General features: G+C 41.7%; 1 annotated feature.

The window, feature by feature from the left end:
- Positions 19389-19589: a silencer, noted in NCBI's record as "peak7086 fragment used in MPRA reporter construct". NCBI's record gives its function as "represses an SCP1 promoter by STARR-seq MPRAs in K562 erythroleukemia cells {active_cell/tissue: K562}" and the evidence as "EXISTENCE:reporter gene assay evidence [ECO:0000049][PMID:32103011]".

Below are 19911 nucleotides of genomic sequence, written 5' to 3'. Positions count from 1 at the left end.
CGCCCACCTCAGCCTCCCAAAGTGCCAGGATTACAGGCGTGAGCCACTGCGCCCAGCCACACATGAGGTTCTCATTGTTGTTTTTAAATAGAGATGGGGTCTCCCTATCTTGCCCAGGCTGGTCTCAAACTCCTGGGCTCAAGCGATCCTCCTGCTTCTGCCTTCCAAAGTGCTAGGATTTCAGGTGTGAGCCATCACACCCAGCCATGTTACTGTTGTTGATGTTGTTGTTGTTGTTGTTGTTTGAGACAGGGTCTTACAGTGTTGCCCAGGCTGGAGTGCAGTGGCTCAATTTTGGCTCACTGCAACCTCCACCTCCCAGGTTCAAGAGATCCTCCTGCCTCAGCTGGGACTACAGATGCTCACCACCATGACCTTTCTTTTTTTTTTTTTTTTTTTTTTTTGTATTTTTAGTAGAGATGGGGTTTTGCCGTGTTGCCCAGTCAGGTCTTGAACTCCTGGACTCAAGCAATCCAGCTGTCTTGCCCTCGGCCTCCCAAAATGCTGGGATTATAGATGTGAGCCTCTGCGCCCAGCCCAGTCTTGTTGTTAAGAGATAGAGTCTCACTGTTTTGCCCAGGTTTGTCTTGAAATCCTGACCTCAAGCAATCCTCCTGCCTCAGCCTCCCTATTAGCTGGATTTCAGCACAAGCCACCATGCCTGACTATGTGGCTTTTTCTTCTTTTTATTTATTTATTTATTTATTTTTTGAGTTAGAGTCTTGCTCTGTCACCAGGCTGGAGTGCAGTGGCGCCCATCTCGGCTCACTGCAACATCAGCCTCCTGAGTTCAAGCGATTCTTCTGCCTCAGCCTCCCGAGTAGCTGGGACTATAGGCATGCGCCACCTGCCCAGCTAATTTTTGTATTTTTAGTAGAGACGCAGTTTCACCATGTTGGCCAGGATGGTCTCGCTCTCTTGACCTCATGATCCACCTGCCTCACCCTCCCAAAGTGTTGTGATTACAGGCGTGAGCCACCACACCCAGCCCGGCTCTTCCTCAACTAGGCCTTTGCACATACTGATCCCTCTCTTCAGAATGCTATTCCCCCACCTCTTTCTGTGCTAGCTGCTTCTTAGACCTTAGATCTTAGTCTAAAACTTACTTTTCTGGAAGGGCCTTATTTGAATACCTGTTTCATTTTCTCCTATTTTATTCTAACATATTTTCCAGATTTTTTTTTTATTCACAAGAGTCACCTCATTTATTATTACCTGTTTGTTCATTGTCTGTCTCTCCTATTAGACTATAAGCACCCTGAGGACAGGAACTACCTCTAGCTTGTTCACTACTGAGTTCCCAGTACCTTCACAGGGCCTGGCACATACTGGGTTCTCAATAGATATTTGTTGAATGAATGCATTAATATGCAGATTGTAATATTATATAATGACATCAGTTCTGTGGATTAAGTATTGTTTTAAATATATTTATATTTTATTAATCTCAAATATCTATATTCATTTAAAAAATATACAGCATCTTTTTTTTTGTTTTTTTGAGACAGTCTTGCTCTGTCACCCAGGCTGGAATGCAGTGGTGCGATCTTGGCTCACTGAAACCTTTGCCTCCCCGGTTCAAGAGATTCTCCTGCCTCAGCCTCCCATATAGCTGGGACTACAGGTGTGCACCACCGCTAATTTTTATGTTTTTTAGTAGAGATGGGGTTTCACCATGTTGGCCAGGCTGGTCTCGAACTCCTGGTCTCAACTGATCCTCCCGCCTTGACCTCCCAAAGTGTTGGGATTACAGGTGTAAGCCACCACACCCAGCCCAAGGATCTCTTTAAAATTAATGAAAGAATGAGTGAGGCCAGATACAGTGGCTCATGGCTGTAATCCCAGCCCAAGGTGGGTGGATCACTTGAGGTCAGGAGTTCGAGACCAGACTGGCCAACATGGTGAAACCCTGTTTCTACTAAAAATACAAAAATTAGCCAGACGTGGTGGTGCATACCTGTAATCTCAGCTACTCAGGAGGCTGAGGCAGGAGAATTACTTGAACCCGGGGGGCAGAGGTTGCAGTGAGCTAAGATTGCACCACTGCACTGCAGCCTGGGCAACAGAGCAAAACTCTGTCTCAACAACAACAGAAGAGATCCTTGGTAAAAGCAAAAAAGAAATACTGAAACTGTTTTTAAAAATATAAAGGAAAACAACAACAACAACATCATAAAGTATAGGCTGGGGGCGGTGGCTCACACCTGTAATCCCAGCACTTTTGGAGGCTGAGGTGGGCAGATCACCTGAGTTCGAGACCAGACTGACCAACATGGAGAAACCCCATCTCTACTAAAAATACAAAATTAGCTGGGCGTGGTGGCACATGCCTGTAATCCCAGCTACTCGGGAGGCTGAGGCAGGAGAATTGTTTGAACCCGGGAAGTGGAGGTTGTGGTGAGCTGAGATCATGCCATTGCACTCCAGAACTGGGCAACAAGAACAAAACTCTGTCTCAAAAGAAAAACAAAAAACATAAAGTGTAAATCTTCTTCTTTCAAAATTTCAGCAAATTGACTCAGTTCTAGTTAACTGAGGTTTTTCACGCACCTAGTAATCACTGAAGTCCAGCCTTTGCTTTTTGCTGATTTAATTTTATTATGCAAATTTTTTATTAATTTAATTTTTTTTCTTGGGAAAGGGTGGATCTTGCTCTGTTGCCCAGGCTAGAGGGCAGTGGCACAATTATAGCTCACTGCAGCCTTGAACTCCTGAGTTCAAGTGACCCTCCCACCTCAGCTTCCAGAGTAGCTGGGACTACAGGCACACCAATATACCTGACTCATTTAACTTTTATTTAACTCCTACTAGATGTTGTGGAGGCAAAGATGAGCTCCTTTTAGTAGTCCATGGCCCACTGGGAAACATGCATAAACAATTAGTTATAATTCATTGTAACTCAGGGAGGAAGTTAAACTCTAAGTCTCCCTCACCCAACTTGAGGACATCAGAGACAGTTTCTTACAGGAAGTGGCCTATGAACTGAAACTTGTAGATTGCATAGGACCAAGCTGAGTGAAGTGGAAAGGGCACAGTATGCAGAAAGACATGGAAACAAGAAACATTCCATTGTGTTCCAGGAATTACAAGCAACTCAGTGTTCCTGGAGCATAAACTTTGGGAAGGGAGTGGCAGCTGTTGACGCTTGAGAGGTAGGCAGGACCAGATGCAGGAAAGGGAGCTTGTACCTTATTAGGGCACTTGGACTTTGCACCCCCAGCCATGGGGATCCACCAGAGTGTTTTGTGGGAATTGTTAATAGTTAAGCTCTAAGAACATGTGAATTGAAAAATTTTATGCAAATTACATTCCATTTTTACACTACTAGCAGTTGGAAGAGATAGATCATAAACAAAAACTTCAAAGGATTTACAATCCGGCACTCTTTTAATTGTATTTATGCCAAACACTTTCCACATCAAAATGGATGTTTAAAATGAATAAATTTGATATTGTGAAGTAGGCCATCTTTAGTCCTGATGTTTATTAAATAGAAAGACTCAAAATCATCCAATTATTCTTGGAAAATGTACATGAATGTGTGGTATTTGGAACTCTATTTTAGAACCCAAATGTCATAGACATCTGGACACAAAAATTATGCAAGAGAGACCTTTAGAAATGTGTTACTAATTATTGACTCTCTCCTGCAACAGCATAACTGAGCCTTTGTTATAGGCACTGTGTGCAGTACTGCTGTAGACTGGCTTTTTTCACATGTGATGGTTGATTTTCATAAGATAGTTTTCATAACTAGAATCACAAAGCACTTCATAGAGTTAATAAGAAGGCTAATAAGACTCACAAATAAATTATATTAGCCATGATGAATGGACAAAACAATAGCTTAAAATTATCTAGGGAAAGAAGAGATATATGATCAAGCTAGCTGAAGAATTAGGGAAAGAATTCAGGGTGACTAGCTAACTAGCTGTAATAGAGTAGCTGTGTGAAGTTATGGAATTAGAACTGGATTCTAGTACTTGTCTTTTCACTTGCCAAATACGTCATTTAACCTCTCTGTGCTCTCATTTGTATTATCTATAACAGAAAGGTCAGACTTAATAGTCTTTGAGGCCTTCTTTAAATTCTAAAATGTAGGTTATAGGAGTTTAAAATATCAAGAAATCAACTCCTATTGAGTAACTGCTATATGTACCAGGAACAATTCCAAGTGATAGTGTCTAAGAACAAGGTAAGATCCATTTTTCATTGAGCTGAAATTCTAGTGGGAAGGGAGGACAAACAGAGAGATAGCTATAAATAGATAAAATAATTGTAGTTAGTAACACGTGCTGCAAAGGAAATAAGACAGGATAGTATTCTAGAGAAGGACTGGGTGGTCTTGGGGATGACATGACATAGGTAGGCAGAGAACTCTGAGACCTGAAGAAGAGCAGGGTCCAGATTTGGGAAAGATGGGAGTCAGGCACTCCTAATGAAGATTTCAAGTGCCAAAGAACTGGGCAGGGGACAAATTGGACTTCCTTGAGGAACACGAGAAGCCAGTGGTGCTGAAATACAGAAATGAGGGGGAAGAACAACAAGAAAAGAGGTAAGCTAAGTCATGCAGAGCCTCATAGGCTGTGGTAAAAAGTTTGAATTTTATTTTAAGTGCAGTAGTCAGCACTTAATGGAATTTAAGCTGAAAAGTGACACCATCTGATTTATTTTAAAATAAATCTTTGGCTACTGTGTTGAGATTTGATTGCAGATGGCAGACTGGAAATAGAGACCAGTTTCAGAAGTTATTGTAAAATGTCAATTAAGAGATTATAGTAGGCAGGACGCAGTGGTTCACGCATGTAATCCCAGCACTTTGGGAGGCTGAGACAGGCGGATCACCTGAGGTCAGGAGTTCAAGACCAGTCTGGCCAACATGGCAAAACCCCGTCTCTACTAAAAATACAAAAGTTAGCCGGGCATGGTGGTGGGCGCCTGTAATCTCAGCTACTTGGGAGTCTGAGGCAGGAGAATAACTTGAATCCGGGAGGCGGAGGTTGCAGTGAACTGAGATGGTGCCACTGCACTCCAGCCTGGGCGACAGAGTGAGACTCTCTTTCAAAAAAAGAAAAGAGATAATAGTAACTAGCACCAAGATGGTGTAAGTGGAAAGAAAAAGCCTAAAACAAGGTGTTACTTATTGTTCTGAATCCTTGTATTTAAATGTCTTCTGTGTTAATGTGGTATTTTAGAAACTGACTCAAATTAACTCACAAATCTGGTAACCATGATATAAATTTAATGAAAAATGAAGGAGGTCAGTTAGGAAAAGAGTAATGCCAAATAAATGCTACTTGCTCTGATAAGTTTTGTGCTGAATTTGGTGCCATGCATATTTGGAGATTTTCATTTGAAGTTTCAAATAATTTCAGGAGAAATAGAATATTTAGAAAGAGAAATCACAGCCATAAAAAAGGATGAGTTCATGTCCTTTGTAGGGACATGGATGAAACTGGAAACCATCATTCTGAGCAAACTATCGCAAGGACAGAAAACCAAACACTGCATGTTCTCACTCATAGGTGGGAATTGAACAATGAGAACACTTGGACACAGGATGGGGAACATCACACACGGGGGCCTGTCGTGGGGTGGGGGGCTGGGGGACGGATAGCATTAGGAGATATACCTAATGTAAATGACGAATTAATGGGTGCAGCACACCAACATGGCACATGTATACATATGTAACAAACCTGCACGTTGTGCACATGTACTCTAGAACTTAAAGTATAAAAAATAAAATAAAATAAAAATAAAAATAAGAAAGAGAAATCAAGCAACTTTAGGATAGGTTGATAACTAGCAAGGATTCCCCATAGACATTGCTGTCCAGTTCTATTTTCAAAATATGTGAATTTGTTCAACAATGTATTTTGTGAAGATTAGATATTTTCAGCAGATAGACTCTGTACTTGGAACAAGTCCTCTAACCAATTTTGGGCAATTAAACAACTGAAACTATTTTTAGAAAATATAAAATATATCTATTTCTACTGCCTTTCCATTAAATATTTACAGTGATACAAAAAATATACTGGCCAATAACAGTAGAAAATCAAGACATGCACCCAATTTGGAGAGAGCTGAGGAATAAAGGATATTATTATAACTGCCTGTTCCTAATGTAAAGATATTAGCTTGCGATATCAATATATTTAATAGAGACATAGCACTTCCTAAGTTTAAAACATTTAATTTGTATACTATTTATTTAAAATTCAAGAATCGTAAACCCAGCACTTTGGGAGGTGGATCATGTGAGCCCAGGAGTTCGAGACCAGCCTGGGCAACAGTGTGAAATCCTGTCTTTACAAAAAATACAAAAATTAGCTGGGCTTGGTGGCACACACCTGTAGTCCCAGCTACTCAGGAGGGTGAGGTGGGAAGATCACCTGAGCCCAGGAAGGTAGAAGGTGCAGCGAGCTAGGATCATGCTACTGCACTCCAGCCTTGGCTACAGAGAAAGACCCTGTCTCAAAAATTGGCCTTTGAGGCCCTACGCTCAGGCCTGCTTCCACACTATGGAGTGTACTTTCATTTTCAGTTTCCCTTCGTCCCTTCCTCGGTTTGTTTGTGCATTTTGTCCAATTCTTTGTTCAAGATGCCATTTGTTCAAGATGCCAAGAACCTGGACACCCTCCACCGTTAACATATTTTGGAGAGCCAGCCAGGAGGAAGAGCAGGGTCACCAGGGCTGCTCAGGGAGAGAGAACCCAGAAACCTGGCATGCCAGCATAAAGAGACCATCAAGCTTCAGATGATCATGCAACAAAGGTTCCAGCCAGTTCCAGGTAAAGACACCACCACTGGCCATCAGGAATCTACCCTGCCTCCACTAGTTGGAGCAGGATGAGAGTTCTTTAATCCCCAATAAGTAGGGACTACACCCGGAGCCAGCATGAAGCAGTTACAGAAAAAAGACCATCGGTCCTTCTGCCTCCCATAAAGATTTATGGGGATCACATCTCTCAGAGGGGAGATGAGGCAGTAAAATAGGGCGTGGAGGCAGGGAACAAAAGGCCGATTCATACTTCAGCTATGACAGCAAATATCCCCTCCACAGGGCATGTACGGAGTAAATTAATTTGAAACTTTACTTCATCCTCTTCATTTACATAGGGCGTACCCCAAGTAGCAGGTATATAAACTCACAAAAACTCTGTAACAGGGCCTTTGAGCCCCTATGCTTAGGCCCATTCCCACATTGTGGAGTGTACGTTCATTTTCGATAAATCCCTTCATCCTTTCAAAAAAAAAAAAAAGGCAAAACATGAACTTGTCTTGGAGGCATGGTAAATTAAAAAAAAAAAGCACTTCAAGAATAATTTCCCCCTAGAACTAATATAACCACTCAGGCCGGCCCACAAATATCTGTTTAACCATTATATAATCAAATAACAGTGAGTGATATCATTAGTTATAAGGTTACAGGAAGACTAAGGGCCCCCCTTACGTAAGAAGAAGGTGAAGAAGAAAAATATTTCCACACCTTCTCTGGATACAGGCATAATTCTGGAAAATTATTTTGCCATATAATAATTGTAGGACTCTGCCATCTCCCTTTCTGCAACTCATTCCCCTGAAAGTCCTGTGTTCTCCCAGGTTACTTAGGCACCTATTAGTTGACTGAACCCAATTTAGTCTACTTCTCCAATTGCTCTTTACCCGCAGATTACCTGCCTCCTCTCCCTGTGAAAAAATGTTTTCTTTATTTTATTTTTTTTGAGACTGAGTCTCGCTCTGTCACCCAGGCTGGAGTGCAGTGGCATGATCTCGGCTCACTGCCAGCTCCATTTCTCGGGTTCAAGCCATTATCCTGCCTCAGCCTCCCGAGTAGTTGGGACTACAGGTGCCCGCCACCACGCCCGGCTAATTTTTTGTATTTTTAGTAGAGACGGGGGTTTCACCGTGTTAGCCAGGATGGTCTCGGTCTCCTGACCTCGTGATCCACCCGCCTTGGCCTCCCAAAGTGCTGGGATTACAGGCGTGAGCCACCGCGCCCGGCCATGTTTTCTTCAGTGTCATTTAAAAGTTAGGAAAGCAATCTGATTAAACAACACATTAATCTATTAATGGCTGGCAGATAAGTAAACTTTTGAATTATGTGCATCTTTAAAAATCCACAACTGCCTATTAACCTAGATGAATCCTAATTAGTGTAAATTTAGGCAATGTAATAAAAATGAAAGAGAATGGAGCTGTATTATTTTTCTTATTTTCTTTGCTTCCAGATCCCCAGATTCTATCATGGCTCCATATATACATTCCTTTATGCATTTTACCCCAGGTAATCTTTATCACAATTCTGCAGCTAAATAATACCTTTAGTTTCAGAAGAAATTGAAATATATCTCCTCTTCCCAGGCAGTTTTGATTAAAATCCCTTACTTCTGGTGAGCTTGTTCCCCAAGCAGGGCTAAGTACCAATCCTTCACCTCATCTAAAAGTCACCTTTTCTCTGCCACTCAAAGAGCCCTTGACGTCTTTTAAGTTGTCTATAAAGTTTTTTCAAGCCATTAAGAAAATAGCATTTTTTTTTCTATTCCATGAACACTGTACCACAGAAATAGAACAGTAGTTGTTGACATGATGCCACTCTGCCTGAACCTGGGAACACATATGGATGTCCTCCCTACTCAGTGAGATAGGAGGGAGAAAGACCAGTGTTATTGACTCTTGTAATACCAGCTCTATCACTAACTTGAACGACTCTTGAACTTTCTGTGTCTGTCCAGAACCGGAAGGGGTGGGGGGGGTGTGTGTGCGTGTAGAGGTACAAGAGGTGTATAATACCTGCCTCATGATCTTTACAGAATTAAGGCTCAGATCAATAAGATGATGTATCTGAAAATGCTTTGAATAAATACAAAGTGCTGTAATTCTAAAACAAAACTATTTGTTGAGCTCTCACTATGTGCGGGCACTGTGCTCAATGCTTTACCGGATTTGCATCATTTAATCACCTCAATAAACACTAAAGTGAGGATTATTAACCCAGTTTTACAGATGAGGAAATGGAGGCTTAGATCATAAATGCCCAAGGTCCATAGGACATGGTCCCCTAACTAATGGCATGGGGAGCCAACTTTAGAGCTGGAAGATGAGCCCAGGCTTATCTGGCCCCTTTGCCACTTTCTTCACCACTGGATTATACTGCTCCTCATTCTGCACATGGAAGTCAGTGCAATCTGCCTCATCTATTTTTATTAACCCTCAAGCTACTTATCCCTAATATAAACATCCTAAATCTAATTTACTAATTTTATAGTGACATTCTACTTATTTATTTATTTATTTTTTGAGATGGAGTCTCGCTCTGTCGCCCAGGCTGGAGTGCAGTGGCACAATCTCCGCTCACTGCAACCTCCACCTCCTGGGTTCAAGCGATTCTCCTGCCTCAGCCTCTCGAGTAGCTGGGACTACAGGCACACACCACCACACCCGACTACTTTTTGTATTTTTTAGTAGAGACAGGGTTTCACCATGTTGGTCAGGCTGGTCTCGAACTCCTGACCTCAGGTGATCCACCCACCTTGGCCTCCCAAAGTGCTAGGATTACAGGCATGAACCCCTGTGCCCCACCCATTCTACTTATTTTGCTGTTCATATGTTACATGTCAGTGTACTTCGTAAAATTGTAAACATTTTTTTTTGAGACAGAGTCTTGCTCTGTGGCCCAGGCTGGAGTGCTGTGGCGCGATCTCGGCTCACTGCAAGCTCCGCCTCCTGGGTTGAGGCCATTCTCCTGCCTCAGCCTCTGGAGTAGCTGGGACTACAGGAGCCCGCCACTACGCCCAGCTAATTTTTTGTATTTTTTAGTAGAGACGGGGTTTCACCGTGTTAGCCAGGATGGTCTCGATCTCCTGACCTCGTGATCCACCTGCCTTGGCCTCCCAAAGTGCTGGGATTACAGGTGTAAGCCACCACACCCGGCCCAAAATTGTAAACTTTTTAACAATAAGGCCCACTTCCTTGCAGTGTCGTCTGTGTGATGCCCTGCACAGAAGTACAGTCTTCCTATTTTATGATGAGAAGGATAAAGAATCAGGAATCCAGGTGTCGGGGTTGAGTAAATCTATTGAGGAGCCCACAAAGCCAGGTGTGGTGGCTCACACCTGTAATCCCAGCACTTTGGGAGGCCAAGGCGGGTGGATCACTTGAGGTCAGGAGTGCAAAACCAGCCTGACCAACATGGTGAAACCCCTTCTCTACTAAAAATACAAAACTAGCTAGGCGTGGTGGTGGGCGCCTGTAGTCCCAGCTACTCAGGAGGCAGAGGCAGGAGAATCGCTTGAACCCAGGAGGCAGAGATTGCAGTGGGCCGAGATCGCACCACTGCACTCCAGCCTGGGCAACAGAGTGAGACTCTGTCTAAAAAAAGAAAAGAAAAGAAAAGAAAAGAAAAGAGTTCACAAAACAAATGATCCTCACAGGAGCAACTGAGAGATTTATTTAATTCTTCTAAGTGGCCAGCTATAATATAGTTAAGCACCAGAATATGCTGATATTATGTAAAGATGATTTTAAAAGTTATATGTGGGTAGAAAAAAAGTTGTGAGTCATACACTGAAAGAGGCTTAGCTTTTTTTTTGTATTATATAAATAATTAGAATCACATTTCAGAAATGTGCCCCAAACTCACCAGCCAGAATTTTAAAACTTTAAAAAATACGTTGAATAATTTATTTCTTTTTGGGAGCTGAAATTGGTTTATATGTGTATAGTAGATCAAGACCAAGTTTTTTTAATATTCCTGTATACAGTCGTGAGAGATAATGCACAAGTTATGCTCTTCAAGGTCATGAATAATTATGGCCAACCTTGGACAAAAAACCAGGCATCTTATGAGTAGAAAAAAAAAAAAAAAGCCGGGCACGGTGGCTCACACCTGTAATCCCAGCACTTTGGGAGGCCGAGGTGGGCGGATCACCAGGTCAAGAGATCGAGACCATGGTCAACATGGTGAAACCCCATCTCTACTAAAAATACAAAAAAAAAAATTGGCTGGGCATGGTGGCAGGCACTTGTAATCCCAGCTACTTGGGAGGCTGAGGCAGGAGAATCACTTGAACCCAGGAGGCAGAGATTGCAGTAAGCCGAGATCGCACCATTGCACTCCAGCCTGGGCAAAAAGAGCGAAACTGTCTCAAAAGAAAACAACAAAAAAAAAAAAAAAAAGGAAGAAAGGAAGTCACATCTTGAACAACACAGACAATGCCTGTATATACATTCTCTCCTAAGCCTCTGCAACCATGGAAAATCATTGCAGGAAATTGCAGGAAGATTATATGAACAGAGCTCTTTTTCTAGCCTCTGGCAGGGAGTAATTCTTCTATTCCTTATAACCTTATGAGGGTCACCTCCCATCTTCAGCATTTTTTTTTTTTTTTTGAGATGGAGTCTTGCTCTGTCACCCAGGCTGGAGTGTACTAGTGCGATCTCAGCTCAATGCAGCCTCCGCCTCCTGGGTTCAAGTGATCCTTCTACTTCAGCCTCCCAAGTAGCTGAGATTACAGGTGCCCGCCACCATGCCTGGTTAATTTTGTATTTTTAGTAGAGATGGGTTTTTGCCATGATGGCCAGGCTGATCTTGAACTCCTGGCCTCAAATGATCCACCCATCTCGGCCTCCCAGGGTGCTGGAATTACAGGCGTGAGCCACCGCACCCAGCCCCATCTTCAGCTTTTGAGTGGAAGCAGAAGTGTTTTGAAGAGTCAGTATGAGAAAGATTCAGTTCATCATGTCTAATTTTTCCTCTTCCTTTAAAAAAATATCTTGGGACAGCAGTAGTTGTCAAGACCATCATGTTAAGTATAGTCAGTATCTAGGGAACTACTGTTAGGTACTCCCAGAATGTTATTCTCTAAGGAGAAAGCCAGAAAGGATAAAAATATTGAAGATGGGACCTGTCTTCTACAGATGAGACAGACCATAATTGAATGCCTGAGAAAACTGCAACCATCCGAATTTTATCACTATGACTGCCTTATTGCCTGGTCTACCGGTAAGGTGATGGAGAAGAAGTGATAATCATAACTAGGATACCAAGGACAGGACAAGACAAAAAGGCCAAGTTGCAAAAGTGGTTAGGAAAGTCAAGAGTGAAAGGGGGTGAGTTCTGAGGTCACTGTTTATTACGCACTGTCTGAATTAAGAAAAAAAAAATGTTAGCAGAAGGCCAGAACCTAGGCAATGGAGATGACAAAATCCATCTCTCCTAGAAAGATATTTAGTAATGCTCCTGCATTGTCCAGGAGAAAGAGTCATTCACTCTACCCGACACAGTGCATCCAGGCCCTGGAGAATCAGTGTGCTCTGTTACAGTGAGGACAGGAATAGTTCACCTTGCTTTTCTCTGGGTTGGAAGAAATGTCTCATAAGACTAGTAGTTTCTTTTTTTTCTCTCTTTTTTTTTTGAGATGGAGTCTCGCTGTGTCACCCAGGCTGGAGTGCAGTGGCGAGATCTTGGCTCACCGCAAGCTCCGCCTCCCGGGTCACGCCATTCTCCTGCCCCAGCCTCTTGAGTAGCTGGGACTACAGGCGCCTGCCACCACGCCCACGTAATTTTTTGTATTTTCAGTACAGACGGGGTTTCATGGTGTTAGCCAGGATGGCCTCGATTTCATGATCTCGTGATCCGCCCACCTCGGCCTCCCAAAGTGCTGGGATTACAGGCATGAGCCACCGCGCCCGGCCAAACTTCTGACTTCTAACTTAACTCTTGCTTAGGCATGAGTGGATAGGAATAGCAAGATCTTTGCACGGGTCTATATCTTTTATTGTTAGTTAATACATTAGCATTTTGTTTTATACCTTGAGCTTTTATACTTTGAATTTTGATTTTTGTTTGTACGAGTTTTGTTTGTTTTTTGAGACAGAGTCTCACTCTGTCGCCCAGAGTGGAGTGCAGTGACACAATCTCGGCTCACTGCAACCTCTCAGGTTCAAGCAATTCTCATGCCTCAGCCTCCTGAGTAGCTGGGATTACAGGCATGCACCACCATGGACTGGCTAATTTTTGTGTTTTTAGAAGACACAGGGTTTCGCCATGTTGGCCAGGCTGGTCTCAAACTCCTGGCCTCAAGTGATCCACCCGCCTCAGCCTCCCAAAGTGCTGGGACTGCAGGCATGAGCCACTGCACCTGGCCTGTTTGTTTTTTTTTGATACAGGGTCTCACCCTGTTGCCCAGACTGGAGTGCAGTGGTGCAATCATGGTTCACTGCAGCCTCTACCTTCTGGAAGCAAGAAATCTTCCCACCTCAGCCTCCTGAGTAGCTGGGACTATAGGCATGTGCCACCACATTGGCTAATTTTTCTTTTAATTTTTTGAAGAGAGAGGGTCTCACCCTGGCTGATCTCAAACTCCTGGTCTCAAGCAATACCCTCGCCTTGGCCTTCCGAAGTGCTGGGATTACAGGCATGAGTCACCATGCCCACGCTATACTTTGACTTTTGAGGTTAGTGGTTATGCCTAAGAACGTGGTCAGTTCAAGTGCATCTTCAAAATCAAAATTCTTAGATACACCTAGACATACCAGGGTTAGACACCCTAAAACATGTAATTAGAACAGAATAAGGCAAAAGTAGGTGCTCAGCTGGCTTTTCTTTATGATTCCTTTATGTTGTACAGATATAATTTCAGGAATAGGAAGATTTTTATGGTAGTTAAAGCAATTTTTTCTCTTACTCTGTAACTAAAGACAAGAATAAGCAACTGCTGCAGGTGACAGGTGGTAAAGCTGTATCATTCAACTTCAACTATCTGGCTCTTCAGAACATCTGCATGAGACGCAAAACTTTTCCAGTTGTATCGTGTCTGATAGCATTTAACATACTATGTGGTATTGATGAATGCAATTATTTCTTAAATTATGTGTACCTATTTTACGTCAGGCCTTGTGTGGAACTGTCCAGAAATTCACATTAAACAAGACATATAAATAAGTAGCTAAAGTAATTATGTGATGGGCGGGGCATGGTGGCTCACACCTGTAATCCCAGCACTTAGGCTGAGGTGGGCAGATCACTTGAGGTCAGGAGTGCAAAACTAGCCTGGCCAACATGGTGAAACCCTGTCTCTACTAAAAATACAAAAATTAGCCGGGTGTGGTGGCTGGCGCTGCAAGCCCAGCTACTCAGGAGGCTGAGGTAGGAGAATCACTTGAACCCAGGAGGCGAAGTTTGCACCAAGCCAAGATCGCGCCACTGCACCCCAGCCCCGGGGACAGAGCAAGACTCCATCTCAAGAAAAAAAAAATTGTTAAAATAATGATAATTATGTGAAGGATTATGAGATTATGTACAAGGCACAGGGATGGCAAGGGATGGAGAAATTTCTGGTCATGGAACCGGGAAGACTCCCTAGAGGAGGTGGCCTTTGAGCTGGATGTTGAAGAAAATATAATGTATTTCCCTCTTGGCATAGGAGAAAGGGAATTCCAGGCAGAGGAAATGGCTGGAAAGCAAAGCCTAGAAGGTATGAAACAGATTGGCTTGTACAGCAAATTGCTAGAATATTGATTGAGCAACAAGATGAGGTAGGAGGTATGCCTGCTAATGACTTAATCGGGTGGGTGTTGGAGACATTTAAAATAGGGAAGCGATATGATATTAAGAAAAGTTTTTTGTAGTTGGCATGACAATGAAGCAAAAGGGAGCAAGAGAAAGGAAGTCCAATTAAGAGTCTAGGTCCTAAATTAAGGCAGTTGTAATGAGAATGGAAAGGATAAAACAGGTTTGAGAATGGTTTGGCAGCTAGAATCAGTAGGGCTTGGTGACAGATTGTGTTTGGGGGCGAGAGAGGGAGGAACTAGCATAACTCCCAAATTACTTGCTTTGGAACATAGGGATCTTTTATTAAATCTTTCTGTAAACCATTATACATTATTCATTGTGAGATTAAAGATGTGCCTGCGTTGTGAATCATCATTAGCTTCCGACTAAGGGAATCCCTAGATTAGAAATCAACTCCCACCCACCTCCAACCCTGCTCTTCCTGACCATTTTGTGCCTTTCACCGGAAGCTGTGAGATCTGACTTCAGGCAAAAAAAATATGTAACTAAAACAGACCTATTGTCCTAGAAAAAAGAAATATGAAAGCCAAAAGATACAATTAAACACATTTGGAATGCTCGGAACGAGGTGTCCATGGCTTTATCACAGACTGTAGCTGCACTGTATGTGTGCAGCTTTGCCTGGTTTTCATTAAGCAAAGAAACTGGCTTTCAATAGCCAAAATGTGAGAAGTTATTTAGTTACAGGGTAACCAGGAACTTGTGCTTGAAAATTTAGATGTGTATTAGTAAAATTACGTCTTGGCCTTTTCAACTGGATAAAAATAATGAAGCAAACATGTATTATCATAAATAGATACTGCATTATCAGATTACGGGTGTTTGAGGGTTAAAAAGTTTATGCGACTAGTTTTTCCTTGAGTTTTGCATGGGTTTCATTATTGCTTCTGCGCAGCCTTTAGGGGAGCATTCTAGCTTAGCGGTTAGGAATCTTAGCTCTGGAGTTCAAACACTTATGTCTTTGGGCATGCCATCAATTGTCCCTGTTATTTTGTCACTCACACACACATGAAATTAATAATATCAGCATGATCTTTGAGTGGAACCCAATTCCAACACAGAAATACTAGATAGATAGGATCGGACTTCAAGAAACATGTAACTGAGTGGTTTTCAAACATTATAGTGCATTATAGTCACCTGGAGGGCTTGTTAAGCCACAGATTGCTGGGCCCTAACCCAGAATTTCTCATTTAGTAGAAGATCTGCAGTGGAGCCTAAGAATTTGCATTTCTGACAAATCCCAGATTGTCTGGGGCCCATACTTTGAGGAAGACAAATCTAATTGGAAAGGAATTAATTTAAGGGGAGAAGGTGGAGGGTGGAGGGTGGAGAAGCACTTAGAAAAGAGGTGTACATGGTTTGCTGTTGATTGTTTTAATGGGAGGGAGTCTTGCTATGTTGCCCAGGCTGGTCTTGAACACCTGGGCTCAATAAATCCAAGAGGCTCCTACCTGAGCCTCTTGGTAGCTGGGACTACAGGTGCTCTCTGCCACGCCCTATTACTGATCTTGTTTGGGAAGCTGAACCACACACATTAAGAACGCCAGTGGTTGATGAGCCGTTCACTTAACTGAGAATAATTTTATTACTAGGATGACATTAAGTTTCTACCATCCTAGGAATATATCCCCATAATTAGAGTGTGCATTTGTCCCACTCAGGGAAACACATATATTCCAACTGACCTTTTCCACAATGTCAGGGTTTTATGCTTAACCTGAACCAAACCAAACCATGAACCATTTAACTGGGATATACCAGGCTAATTGGTTATGCTCAGAAACTAAACTGAATCTAAAATATCCTTTCCCTGAAGTGTGAACCAAATGAAAGATTTTTTGTTTGTTTATTTAAAAAAAATAGTGAACTCATTCAAGTTAGAAACATTTGGTTTCTTAAACTATTGAAAAGCAAAATTATATTCCCTGACATACTGATTCATTAAAAAAAAAAAAAACTCTTAAGTTACCATTATATTGAGTAACAAGTAGTTGACTGAAATACTAAAATATGCAGTCCCTAAAAAAGTCAGGGTCCCAGCAAGAAAGAGTATTCCCCTCATAGGGGTCAAATCAAGATACTTTAATGAAGGAACTACTTACCTAGCTATGATAAGGGTACTAGAGACGGGTGTTTAGGTACCAAGAAACTAGCAACAGCAGGAAGTGTTTACCACCCTGGGCATAAAGAGGCAAAAAAAGGATGTTGTGTTCACTGAGTCCAGTTAGAAGAGGACCTATGTTTCCAGAATGTTTGGCGAGAGGTCTAGTCTTAGGGATCTCTCTCCCTCCTCAAACACACACATTAGAATAGAGTTGCTAGCTCAGGGAGCAAAGGGAGAGACATAGCTCTGCCTCTGTCTCCTGCTAGCTTCTAATCTCCTGTTGGTACCTTCCTCTGTCTGAATCCAGCTGAAAGTCAGGTGTCAAGGAAGCCCAAGTGATCTATTTGCAGGAGTCAGCTTCCTGGCAGAGAAGGGCCAGTGGTGGAAGGCAAACGGAGACTGACAGCTCAATCTTCTTTTACTAAATTAATGCTAGGCATTATGGGAAGTATTAGCAAGTGAGTTAATGTATATAAAATTCTTAGAAAATTCCCTCGCACATAGGAAGCATTAAATCCTAACCGTTAGCTATTATTATTGCTACTATAATTAGCCCTATTTTACAGATAAGAAAACTAAGTTTCATAGACTTTAAGCAACTTCTCCGTGGTTAACAATTAGTAACAGAACCCACACTCAAATCCAGATTTTTAGATGCCAATTTTGTACAAATTATATTAATGTTTACTATAGCACCGTATAAGATTAGGCATTGCATACATATTTAATTTTGTAATTTATTGCAGAATAAAACATCTTTACTCTTGATCTAACTAAAGAAATCTGTAACCAAATTGACACTTTTTGAAATACATAGAAATAAAATAAGTGAAACTATTATTTCAAAGGCAACTCTACCTGGTCAATAATATTATTAATAGTCATGGTAATGTTGGTGTTAGTAGTGATAGTAGTAATAATAACAGTTGTTACAATTCTTGAGTGTTTATTATATGTCCATCACTGTGCTATTTTTAAGGTATTGTAATAATGTAACCACTAAACCATGGCACCCATTTTTAATTTCCTGTTCATTCTTTTAATTTTTTTAAACTTGGAAATAATTCACTTGGACGATTTTCCTGGCCCTTGTTTGACTACTTAAGGTTTTATAAAATAATTTAAAATGTGAGGTATATATTATCTCCTTTAAAAACTCCCAGATAACATTATTTTTTCCCTATAATTGTTGGATAATTTATTCTTCTCATTACATTGTCATGATACAAAATTAGCCCTAAGGCAAGAGGCATGAATTAGCCATGCATTCCAAATTTGATTACATGAAATAAGACATTTTGAACATAAACATAGTTTGCTTCTTATTTGTGTCAGGTCAGCTTTTTTTGGCAACAGATTTGAAACAGTGAGATAGCCTTTTACCCTTAGGTCTTTGCATTTTAGGTTTTTAGAGTTTCAGTACAAAGAAGGCATAATCAGCAAGCGGAGACATCATATGTACATTTCCAGTAAGCTAAAGAAAAAAATGTTTTTCCTGTGGGGCTGATTTCCAACCTGTCACACTATCTGTCAACTCTTTTCTGATGATTGGAGCAATTATCAGACAAGGGCACTGTAACCAATGGCTCATCACAATTGAGTTTCTTTCTTGGCAGTCAAGTTACAGAGTTATCATTAAGAAAGTCAGTGAAGCAACAGCATTACAGAGGCAGTGCAACACTGAAAACCAACCACATGAAAGAAAAAAATCCTACTCGTACACCGTTTGCTTTGCTTTCTACTTTATTGTCCAGTTACTGCATAGGGTGACACATAAGAAAACGCTTAATTACAGTAGAGGCTGAACCATATAAAACTGACAATATTTGACCAATAATTGACCAGTTTGACCTATGAAGATGGGAGTTTCCTGTGGTTCATCCTAATAACTCTGCTTCTGATTTAAGCAGTCCGTGGAGTAGGAACATTTTATTTACAGATCATTTTACAAGGCCCCTCACCCCACCATTGGTAAACATATTGCTTTTGCACATTCTACAAATGAAAGTCACTTCTGATTTTTTCCCTCTTGTTGAGGATTTCGATTAAATTTTAACATCCAGAAATGTGTGTTGGCCGGGTATGGTGGCTCACGCCTGTAATCCCAGCACTTTGGGAGGCCGAGGCGGGCAGATCACTTGAGGTCAGGAGTTCGAGACCAGCCTGGCCAAGATGGTGAAACCCCGTCTCTACTAAAAATACAAAAATTAGCTGGGCATGGTGGCGCATGCCTGTAGTCCCAGCTACTGGAGAGGCTGAGGCATGAGAATTGCTTGAACCCGGGAGGCAGAAGTTGCATTGAGTGAGTGTAGTACAGTGTGTACTATACTATAGTATAGTATCTGTATATATCTGATTTTAAAAAAGGAACAAACGGAACAGGAAAGGATTGTCTATGCATTTGTATAAACCACATATTAGAAAATGTCATAGTTATGATTTTTTTCTTTGTGAGACTAGGAAATGATTTCTCACACATAGATGTCTGTTTTGTGGTGAGTTTTAGGAACAGACTTTTGCAATTAAGATGAAAACATCATATTTAAAACATGAAGAGTTTTGAGAATAAGATATTCATTTTATAATTATGCTAGTCTACCCAAATTCTCACTTATTATTTAATATCTATATGTAAATTCTTAAAATTTGACATGTTCTTTAAAACTTCTATAAGTAATTTTCTCTTTGATATTATTATAGCTGCTCTTAAATACAGAGAGAAATGTGTGAAATACAGAGCAACTGAGTGCTGCATCAGGCAGATGAGTCAGCAGCTATGGCCCAGCTGTATGCGTGGTCCACAGGTGTCCTTTGCCTTGGGTAGCCTTTACAGGCCGAATTTTTTTTTTTTTTTTTTTTTTTTTTTTTGAGATGGAGTCTTGCTCTGTCACCCAGGCTGGAGCGCAGTGGCACGATCTTGGCTCACTGCAACCTCCGCCTCCCGGGTTCAAGTGATTCTCCTGGCTCAGCCTCCTGAGTAGCTGGGATTACAGGTGCCTGCCACACACCTGGCTAATTTTTGTATTTTTAGTAGAGTTGGGGTTTCACCATGTTTGCCATGCTGGTCTCGAACTCCTGACCTCAGGTGATCTGCCTGCCTCGGCCTCCCAAAGTGCTGGGATTATAGGCGTGAGCCACTGCGTCCGGCCTACAGGCAGAATTTTTTGAAGGATCTCATGCAAACTTTACAAATCTATTTCTTCTGCAGCTCCTTTGCAGTAAC

Source organism: Homo sapiens, chromosome 8, assembly GCF_000001405.40.
Source record: "Homo sapiens chromosome 8, GRCh38.p14 Primary Assembly".
Classification (NCBI taxonomy): domain Eukaryota; kingdom Metazoa; phylum Chordata; class Mammalia; order Primates; family Hominidae; genus Homo; species Homo sapiens.
This window is presented reverse-complemented; position numbering and strand designations above follow the sequence as displayed.